We start from the raw sequence: 11,034 nt of genomic DNA on the forward strand, positions 1-11,034 counted from the left end.
CAGCCGCCCTCCCGAGTAGCCCGGCTAATTTTTGTATTTTTAGTAAAGACGGAGTTTCACTATGTTGGCCAGGCTGGTCTTGAACTCCTTACCTCAAGTGATCCACCCGCCTCAGCCTCCCAAAGTGCTGGGATTACAGGCGTGAGCCACCAGGCCCGGCTTCTTCCATTAATTTTTTTTTTTTTTTGAGACGAACTTTCACTCTGTTGCCCAGGCTGGAGTGCAGTGGCTCCACCTTGGCTCACTGTGATACAGTTCCGATGAGGGGAGGAACACCAGGGCTCTTGTCTCATGTCGAATTAGATAAGATGACACGGACACACATGGAGTGGTTTTAAGGAGCGGAGAGTTTAATAGGCAAGAAGGAAGGGAGAAGGAAGAAGCTCCCCTGTACAGAGACAGAGGAATGGGGGCTCCAAAGCCTAAAAAGGAGGTCCCCACCTGCCACGGATACCAGCCAGGTATATATACAGAGGCTGGAGGAGGCGGTGTCTGATTTGCATAGGGCTCAGGGGATTGGTTTGACCAGGCATGTCATTCATGGTAGCCCATGAAAAAGCTGGCCCTCCCACCCTAGTCTTTTAATATGCAAATACAGGGCGCCATGATGGGATATGTGGGGATATGTGGGGGCGGCTATGTTGCCAGGAACAGGTCAGGAAAGGGCAAGAAGGCTCCGGAATCTCCATGTTTGGGTGTACCCAGTTTCTAATGGCTGGCATTTGCATATCAAAGGTTGCCAGCCTGGCTCTAAGAGCCCAGGCTTTATGAGAAACTTTTCCGGAGATGCTTTAAAAAATGAAAACTTCCCAAGGACCCCTTTTCCTTTCTATCTGCCTAAAATAATTTCTTAATAACGCCTACCACAAGTGCAACCTCCGATTCCCAGGTTCAAGCAAATCTCATGCCTCAGCCTCCCAAGTATCTGGGACTATGGGCGTGTGCCACCACACCCAGCTAATTTTTGTATTTTTTTAGTAGAGACAGGGTTTCACCATGTTGGCCAGGCTAGTCTCGAACTCTTGACCTCAAGTGATCCACACACCTCGGCCTCCCAAAGTGCTGGGATTACAGGTGTGAGCCACTGCACCCAGTCCCATTCATTCTTTCCCTGCAGGGGCTGCCCATCCTTTCTAGATATGCACCCCCACCCTTAGAATAGAATCCAGGTGGAGCCTTTAAAAGAGAAACCAATACTGCCCTGGGCAACTTTACGTTAGGGAAGAATGTTTTGGATTTAAATCAAAGGTTAGTGTTTAGGGTCCCTTCTGCAGGTGGGCAGGGGCCCTAGAGACTAAGGGTGAAGACACTGCTTGGCCCCAGGGTCACCTTTGGGCATCAGGGTCACACAGTGCACACTCCTGCAGGTTTCTGATGCCCCTTGTCTTCCCTCCAAGCCGGTCACTCCCATTAAAAAAAAAGGCGCCTACAAACCTTCTGGCGATTAGGCCAAATCTTAGAGTCAGCATAACCCTCCTCTTTCTCTTATTCCTCTATATCCCAACCATCTACCAAACCTGCTGGCTTTAGCTTCTGATGATGGCCACCATGTGATCGCCTGACCACACCACTCTGAATATGGAGGCCTGGGTGTCCATCATCCCTTCTTGACTGTGGCAAATCGCCTCCTTGCTGGTCTCCCTACATCGACTCCCTGCATTGATCCTGCACCATCCATGCTCACAGGCAGCCAGAGGGATCCTTTTAAAATATTAAGGCAAAATACATCAAGTCCTCTGTGCCAAACCCCACCTCATCTATCTCAGAATATGACCCAGATGTCTTTGCCATGACCCACGAGGCTCTCCATAACCTCAGCTCCAGCTCTCCTCCTTGTTCCCTCCATGCTGACCCTCCTAGAACACACCCAGCACACTCCACCCAGGGCCTTTGCACATGCGGGTCCGTCTGCCTGGAAACTTCCTCCCCCAGATGTGCACACACGGAAGACTCATTTAATTCCTTCAGGCCTCTGCTCAAAGGGGGCGCATCTCAGAGAGGACTTCCACATCCCCCAGTCTAAAGCAAACCCTCCAGCCACTTGATATTTCAAGTATATGTGCACACATACACACATATGTCTGTGACTGTACTTGCGGGGGCAGGCTGTACTTGTTGTTCACTGCCCCTCCCACCCCGCCAGCTCCCCGAGAACAGCGCCTTGGTCTTTTTCATCCACAGTTGCATCGCTGGTGCCTAGAGCATGCCTGGCACGTAGAAGCTGCTCTGAAAAGAGCTGGAGTATGAATGAAAGGTGGACTCTTCTGAGAGTGCTCCCTCTGCGGAGAACTCGGGGAGACAGACAGAAGCTGCCTGGCCCAGGGAGTCTGATTCCTGGGGCTGGACTTCTTGTCTGGTTTCCCTCCAGGAAGGTGTCCCTAAGAGAATAAGTTGTACTTTATCTTCTCAGTACAAAGGATCTTTTTGTAATTCTCTGGCATGGGAACCATTCCAGAAGCCCCAGAGTCACCAAGCTTGGCCGCACTGAACACACTTCCTAGAACGAGCCTCAAATGGTCGAGTCTGCCCGTCTCCAGACACCCAGTTCCTGGCTGTCCATCAGAACAGAGCCGGACAATCAGGGTGTGGGGCTTGGTGCATCTGAGGGTTCATCTCGGGCCACCCCCGCTCCAGTGAGGAACCTGCAGGTCAAGGAGGGGACGTGACTGGCCACTGAGGGCATTGCAGGCAGAGCCAGCCAGGACCGGCTTTCTCCCAGGCTAGGGAGCTTTCCTGATGGAAGTTTCTGGAAGCCTTCGTCCAATTCCATTCTCTCACTCTTCTTGCAAGTCAGCAGGGCAGAGGCAGGGGCAGCAGAGCCCCACTTGGCAAATGAAGAAACTGAGGCACAGCCAAGGTCAGAGACTCGCCTTTCTTCAAATAGCTCATTACTGTGGGGCCCCCAGTTAGTGGTTACAGAGTGGGTCCCGAGCCATGGCCTGGGCTGGGTCCTGGCTCTGCCACTTTCAAGCTGAGCAAATTGCTCACCCCTGTGTGACTCCATTTTCCCACCTGCAGAACAGTTAATAAGCATAATTGACCCGTGGCTTTTACGAGCACAATGAAACCCAGGCATCACCAATGGGAGGAGCCCAGCCCTGGAGGCAGATGCCAGTTCCACCCCACCCAGCCCTCCACCCGCCAGCTCTCGGGCTCCCCTACCCCTCTGCAGATGGAGGGAGTGGCAGTGCCTCCCACACAGGGCAGTTGTGAGAATTCATGATGGTGTTTTGTTGATTCAATGTGTTTTCGATGCTTCTTGTTTCGTTTTGTAAATCAACTAGAGCAGTGCCTCCACACAGCAAGCGCAATGTAAGTATTTGTTAAATAAAAATATAGAGAATGCATGTAAGGTGCTTAGACCAGTGTCTGATGTGAGTGATGCTTGGTGAGTTTCAGCTGCTCTGACTTTTAGTGACAAGAACCAGAGCATGAGTCATCCTGACCCTCCTGCTTCCCTCCCGTCCATGGTAGCCCCCAGGCCACATCTCAGGCTCTCGGGGTTGCCCAGACACCATTTCTCCTTGGAGGTCACCTTGCTCTCCCTGCTCCCATATCCCACTGCCTGCCTCCTCCAGACACTCTGTCTCCCACACATGCGCACACTCTCACGCCCTTACAAACACACTCTCACGCACACATACACACACATACATACATTCTCACACACAGGCTCACACACTCATACAGTCTCACACATACACACACAGACTAATACACACACACACAGGCTCACACTCACATATACAGGCTCACACACACGCAGGTTCACATACATCTACACTCACACACATTCACACACACATACACACAGGCCCCAACACACCTACACTCACACATACACACATTCACACATACATGCATACATACATACACACAGGTTCATACACTCACATACACACATTCACACATGTACAGACTCACATACACACACCCTCACTCTCACAGTCACAAACACATTCATAGGCACACATATACACACACTGTCACCCTCTCACATGCACACGCGTCCCCTGAGGCATATGCTACCCACCGCGTCCTCCCTGAAGCCCCCCCCCACCCGCTGCCCAGATGCCCAGCTTGGGGGCTGCCTGCACTCCCAGGACTCGGCTGACGCCCTGGCCCGGGGAAGCTGCTGGGACTCACCCCTCTGCTGAGACAAAACGGGCTGCACAGGCTCCTCATGGTCTCCCTGCCCCACCCACTCCTGGCTTTGTACCCTGCCCAGCAGGCATAACCAACCCAGCCATCTGCTCAGGCCTCTGGTGCCTCCCCAAACCCAACCCAGAGACCCTGGAAGTGCTGTCACCCTGTAACCAGGCACTCAAGGTAGTGTAGAACTGCCCCCAGGCAGTTCTACCTGGTCTCAGTCAGAACCCGGAGAAAAGGCTAATGCCACAGACTCCACGGGGCAATGGCAAGAAATGGATGGACTGGTGCAGCAGCTAAAAGGGGACAAGCTCCCACAGTGCAGCCTGAGCCATGGAAGGAAAAGGGCCACAGTCACACCCATAATCATCCTTCTCTCTGCTGGAACCCCTGGTTGGCTGGAGTCACCTGAGGGGCGTCGGGAGCGCCATGGAGGAGGAAGCTGCGGTCCACTCTGCTCTTGCACTGGCTCAGCGCAGACCATGGGCTCTTCTGAGACAGCACCAGGCCAGGCTCAGAGAGGGCCAGGACTCTGTTCCCACAAAACACTGGGGCTGGTGGGGGACCCACCTGTCAACAGTCAATAGCACAGCACCAGGATGAAATAATCCTGGAGTGGGGGTGGCCCCAGCAGGAAGTCCTCAGCTCCCACTGGGAGTGTGTGGGCGGGGGTGGTCGGGGACTCAGGTGGGGTGGGGAGGTGGTGTTGGAGTCAGGCCTCCAAGCATAAGCAGGACATTGAAAAGAAAGGAGGGAGGAGGGGTGGGGTGGGAACAAAGCCAGAGCCAAGAACGTACTTAGTGGGAGCGAGAAGGCGGCTTTGGTGGATGGAGTGGACAGGGAAAAGTGAGAACCAGGTTAGAGAGGGGCTGGAACCCAGAGGGCAGAGGCCTGAGATGACCATGGCAGAGCGTGCACTGTGTCCCCTTGATTTAGGCATTGCCTGCCACCTGTCACATGGAGGGCAGCCTGGGATGGCATCGAACACTTTAAAGATCAATTTATTTTTTAAGTATATAAATTTATTTCAATAGCAAACTTTATATGCTTAAGTTTATTGGAAAAAATTAAGTAGAAACCAAAGCAACATCATCAATTGCAGGTAGGTACATACGATGGCCTACCAAAGACGCTAGGCCAAAGGCTGGCTCTTTCTTGGTTCCAGATGGAGATGAACAGTGTTGGAAAGGTGTTAAGAATATTAGCACCAAACTGGGACTCTTCTCCTTCAGACAATGGACTGGCTTTCTAACCACGTGTCTCCATGTTATGTCAGGAAGATCTGAGTCACCCAGTGTCACCTGTCATCATCCCCAGGGGAGCAGGTGCTGTTCGTGCCCTGCACATAGCCCTGGAACACTCCAGCAGGCACAGAGCCACTTCTAACTGCCAATATCTTCTTCTTTTTGCCTGCAGGCTTTTGTCCATGACCTCAGCAGGCCACTCTACCCACACCTGCGGCAGGTGGGCGGTGCCAGGGGATTAACACTCACCTCCAACAACCCCCAAATAATAACTCATAGGAGTTGGTGTATAAATACCCACGCTCCCTTGCTCCTGGGATTCCTCTGTTGTGTGTGATTTCTCCATGGGACTGAACTCCAGCTGTCCTCTGCACCACCTGGCTGAATACTACGCCCTGAATTGGCCTCCTTCCTTTCCTGTTGCACTTCCTAAAGCCCTGCCAGAGCTTCCTAAGGTCACCTCTCAAATAAACTACTTGCTCTCAAATTCTTGTCTCAGAGTCTGCACGTGGGACAACCCAAACTAAGGCATCAACCATCAGTGATATTTGTCCCACCCACCCTCAAGGTCAGACCCCAAACCTGAGAGACTCAGTCCAAAGAGACCCAGAAGACAGCTTGGCTCTTATAACTAGATAAGAAATCAACCCAGGAGAAGCCTGTATGGCAATTTATAATGGGAGGGGCTGGATTTTTCTGTGAAATATTTTCATATGGCATTGATTACTGAGAGTGAAACTAGAATGAAATCAATCAGATCTGCAGTTGGAAAAGCTCACTCTGGCTCCTGTCGTAAAATGTGAATGTGGGCGGTGCCCTGGTCTGCACAGGGAGCTGGGTCGGGTACCACTGCAGTTGTCAGAGGTGACACTGGAGGAGATTGGCAGGGGTGGCCGCCCTTGGCAGGTATTTAGGAAGGACAATCACAAGGGATTTGAAATGGATTAAGCCAGCGGAGGAGATTGAGGAGGAGGTGATTTCTGACTTATAATGGATAGAAGTGGAAGTCACTCCAAAGACAAACACAGCAGGAGGAGCAGGTTTGGGAAGGAAGGTCAGGAGTTCAGACCCAGGCGCACTGGCTTAAGTTGCCTTCAAAACATCCAGGTGGAGATGTCAAGATGTCTGTTGGATAAATGAGACCAGAACTCAGAGGAGCGGCAAGAACAACAGTGACCATCGCCCTGTAGACATAAATGAAGGAAAGGGTGTGGATTTTAAGAGTTGTGTATGTATGTTTCTTTTTTCTTTTTTTATTTATTTGTTTATTTTTTGAGACAGGGTCTCGCTCTGTCACCCAGCCTGGAGCACAGTGGCACAATCATGGCTCACTGCAGCCTTGACCTCCTGGGCTCAAGCGATCCTCCCACCTCAGCCTCCCAAGTGGCTGGAACCACAGGCACATGCACCCATACCCAGCTAACTTTTGGTTTTGTTTTGCTTTTGGCAGAGACAGGGTTTTGCCATGTTGCCCAGGCTCAAACTCCTGAGCTCAAGTGATCCACCAGCCTTGGCCTCCTCCCAAAGTGCTGAGATTACAGGTGTGAGCCACCAGGCCCAGCCATGTTTCTTAAAAAAAAAAAGTTTAATTTTAATAAAGTTTATTATTTCATTTCTATGGACATGGGAAAAAATGTTGAATTATGATAAAATACACAAACATAAAATTTACCATCTTAAACATTCATTTATAGACACTTGAGTTGCTTTCACCTTTTGGCTATTGTGAATAATGCTGCTATGAGCATGGGGGACAAATCTCTCTTCAAGTCCCTGTTTTCAGTTCTTCAGGGTATATACCTAGAAGTGGGATGGCTGGATCCTATGATGATTCTATGTTCAATTTTTTGAGGAACTGCCATATTGTTTTCCACGGTGGCTACACTCAAACGTTTTACATTCCCACCAACAGTGTATAAGAGTTCTAATTTCTCCATATCCTCACCAACACTTGTGATTTTCTGGGTTTTGACAGTAGCCATCGTAAAGGGTCTAAGTTGGTCTGGCCAAGGTTTTTGAACTACAGATGTCACAAAGGTACACAGCAAGAAAAGGACTTATGCAACATCATAATAAGCCAGGGAGGTGTTCTGGTCATACCTACATCATTATCAACCTCATGAACCTGGATCAGTTGGGGGTGCTCTTGGCTACAAGTAGCAATGTTATGAACGCATTTGCTGTCTTGTTAATAAGAACTCCCTGGGCTGGTCTTTTCTGCTCAGTCAGGCTCAGCTGATTGGTGACAGTGACATTGCCCTTCCTGGCCATACATTGACTCTTCAATGCCATGCACATGTGCGCTCAGGACCACACACAGAGCAGCAGGAAGGGGGCATGAGGCAAGGCCTCCTCCTTCCAAGACTCTGGCCTTTTTAACAGGAAGAAAACGACTTCTCCAAAACCCAGCAAATACTGCCTGACATCTCACTGGCAAGAACCAGTCAAGTGCCCATGCATATGACTGGTGCAGGGTAAGTGGTGCTAGTTAAAGGAGAGATGGCTGGGCCCCACCCACAGAGTTTCTGATTCAGTGGAACTGGGATGGGGCCCAAGATTTGGCATTTCTAACAAGTTCTCTGGTGATGCAGATGCTGCCAGTCCAGGGACGACATTTCGAGGACCACTGGCTTCAGTGATCTTGAGCTGGGTACATGACCACCCAAACCAATCAAAGGGAAAAAGCAGGTAGGTGGTGGTAAAATACAAGACTTTCTGTCACAAACTCTGAGGAGCTCACTTGTAGCTTTTTTGCCCAGTAGACTCTAGGCCCCCTGGGAGCAGGGGGTCATGAAAGTCACCTTTTTGGGCCTTGGGGTCTTGATACAGTTACTGTGACTTGGTGGCAACTTTAAACGGATTTTTCAAATGAGTGAATACAAGAACATGTCACCAAACATGTCCAAGGCTGCTGCACCCTCAGGTCACCTTGATCAAAACACCTTCCTGGAGCCCATGCAGGCAGCCTCCAAAACACAAAGCAGGCTGGGCACGGTGACTCATACCTGTAATCCCAGCACTTTGGGAGGCCGAGGTGGGTGAATCATGAGGTCAGGAGTTTGAGACCAGCCTGGCCAACAGGGTGAAACCCCGTCTCTACTAAAAATAAAAAAAATTAGCTGGGCGTGGTGGCAGGCACCTGTAATCCCAGCTACTCAGGAGGCTGAGGCAGGAGAATCACTTGAACCCAGGAGGCGGAGATTGCAGTCAGCCGAGATCGCACCACTGCACTCCAGCCCAGGCGACAAAGCAAGACTCAAACAAACAAACAAACAAACAAACAAAAAACCCCAAAGCAGCCCCTTCTCTACCAGGATGGCAGCTCCCCTACAAAGCAGCTCAGGTGTCTTCCCTGTCGGCCTGTCCTCCTGGGGAGGCTGGCTCCCTGCTCTGCAGTGACACTGCAGGGTCAGAACTCAGCCTGTGGGTAACCCAAGAACAATGCCTGTTTGGGGGTCTTCACCGCTGACACAGAGAGCCTGTGGCCATCCATCCCAAATAGCGTCTGTTAATTGCCCACTGGGATGTGGTCCCTTGTTGAAGTCAAAGAAACAAGCCCTTAATTCACTAATCGTCTAAACAGACACCACCAGCTGAGAACTCCTATAGCCCGGCGTGTGATGCCTTATGACCCTGAGCGAATGCAGCTGCAAACAGGCAGTACCTGTTACATATTCCTTAGCCACAGGGGAAACTTCTGGAAAGTTGCTAGCATGGAATATGGTTAATGAAGAAGAAAACACCTTATCCTTCTGTTCTACATTCACACTCACGTGTGATCTACGCAGTGGTCCTGAAAGGATCCAAGGCTGGGGGAGATCTGGGAGTCCGTTTACCGATGAGGATCTGCTATTCAGAGCTGATGTCCTGTATGTGTGCAGTGAATATTCAATCAGCAGTAGCTGTGATACTCATAAATCACTCGCTCTGAGGTGAAGGGGAACCGATAGGATAAGCCAGGCTCACCCCAGAGGCCTCTGCTGCAACCCTGGTTGGCAGCCCAGCCCTTGTGGGTACCAGGACCTGCCAGAGCCACAGACGACCGGATACAAGCACAAATTGATGAGTCACCCAAGAGCCATCGCAGGGTGAGGACAGACCTGGGTGCCAAGTGGGCAGAGATTCCACCAAGTCCTGGCAGAGGACCAGGATGTGATGGACAGGAGACACTTCTCAGGTCAGACTCACATGGCAAGGCAAGGTCTTGCTGGAAGGCAGGCAAGGAAATGCTCCAGCGGGAGCCCAGCAGAGACCGGCCCTGGGTGCTGATCAGGACCAAGCTGGCCCCAGACTCTCTCCAGGATTGCACAGGGCTCAGGGAGCTGCACCAAGGTGGAACAAGAGTAGAGGCTGGGGGCGGTGGCTCACACCTGTAATCCCAGTACTTTGGGAGGCTGAGGTGGGCAGATCACTTGAGGTCAGGAGTTCGAGACCAGCCTGGCCAACATGGGGAAACCCCGTCTCTACTAAAAATACAAAAATTAGCTGGGCATGGTGCTGTGTGCCTGTAATCCCAGCTCCTTGGGAGGCTGAGGCAGGAGAATTGGTTGAACCAGGAAGTTGGAGGTTGCAGGGAGCCAAGATCACACCCCTGCACTCCACCCTGGGTGACAGAGCAAGACTCCATCTCAAAAATAAATAAATAAATAAATAAATAAAAGAGTCAAAGCCCTGGGTCCTCTTCTCCCCTGTGTTAGCCTTGCTATGTGCTCTTGGGGGTGGTGCTTCACCCCTCTGGGACAGTGAGCTTCACGTACCTGACTCTGGGCCATGCAGGGGCCAGGCTGGGCCTCCTGACACCCACTGGACTCCCTGCTAGCAACCCCAGTTCCCAGCTCCCATCCCCCACCCTAACTTCCAGGGCAGACACGATGTGTGCACTGGGGAGTGGACACAGGGCTCTCTCCAGCTGGGTGGAAATGGGACCACCCCCTCCTTCCTCACCCCCTCCCCAGACACTATCCACAGCCCGGATGGGCTTTCATCCACCTCAGCAGCCAGCCTCCCACCCTCTCCCCACCACCGCAACCAAAACTGCTTCTGTGGATGCCTACTGGCATGTTTTGAAGTTACCTACACATTTATTTCAAGGTCAACTAGTCCTGAGCACCTCTGGGGAAACCTTATACCACTCTCCTTTTCCCCCAGGACTCCCCAGGGAGCAGGAGTTCTCAGCCCTGGTGCAGGCTGGAGCCACCTAGGGAGCTTTGAAAACTACCCATGCCCACGAGGGACAGAATCGGGATGATGAAGATGTTCTAAAACCGGATTACGGTAACGGTTGCACAACCTGGGAAACTTAAAAATCATTCAATGGTACACTTAAAATGGGTGAATTTTATGTTATGTAAATTATATCTCAATAAACTTGTTTAAAAAAAAATACCCAGGCCTGGATCTATCACTGAACCATTAAATCAGAATCTTTGATTTGGGGCCTGGGCTGAGATTCCTGCTCTGGTGTCACCGTGGGGACATCTCTTTCCACTGCCACCATCACTCATTCACCCTGGGAGAAGAGGAGTGACCCCCCCACCCCAACTCATTGATGGGCATATCCATTTCCTAGGGCAGTTATAACAATAACCACCAACTGGGAGACTCAAAACAGCAGTAATTGACTCTCTCATAGTTCCGGAGG

General features: G+C 51.2%; 1 long non-coding RNA gene across 2 annotated transcripts; it reads left to right on the plus strand.

Moving 5' to 3' along the window:
• Window positions 1-7,524: 7,524 nt before the first annotated feature.
• On the plus strand, window positions 7,525-10,773 carry LOC105375298 (uncharacterized). 2 transcript variants are annotated; one of them, XR_927303.3, is made up of 3 exons: window positions 7,525-7,867; window positions 7,985-8,081; window positions 10,542-10,773. It is a non-coding gene; the product is annotated as an uncharacterized LOC105375298 (long non-coding RNA). The 2 variants fall into 2 exon arrangements; XR_927304.2 differs by lacking the exon at window positions 10,542-10,773 and adding an exon at window positions 8,223-8,260.
• The last annotated feature ends 261 nt before the right edge of the window (window positions 10,774-11,034 follow it).

This window comes from Homo sapiens, chromosome 7, assembly GCF_000001405.40.
Source record: "Homo sapiens chromosome 7, GRCh38.p14 Primary Assembly".
NCBI classification, from domain to species: Eukaryota; Metazoa; Chordata; class Mammalia; order Primates; family Hominidae; genus Homo; species Homo sapiens.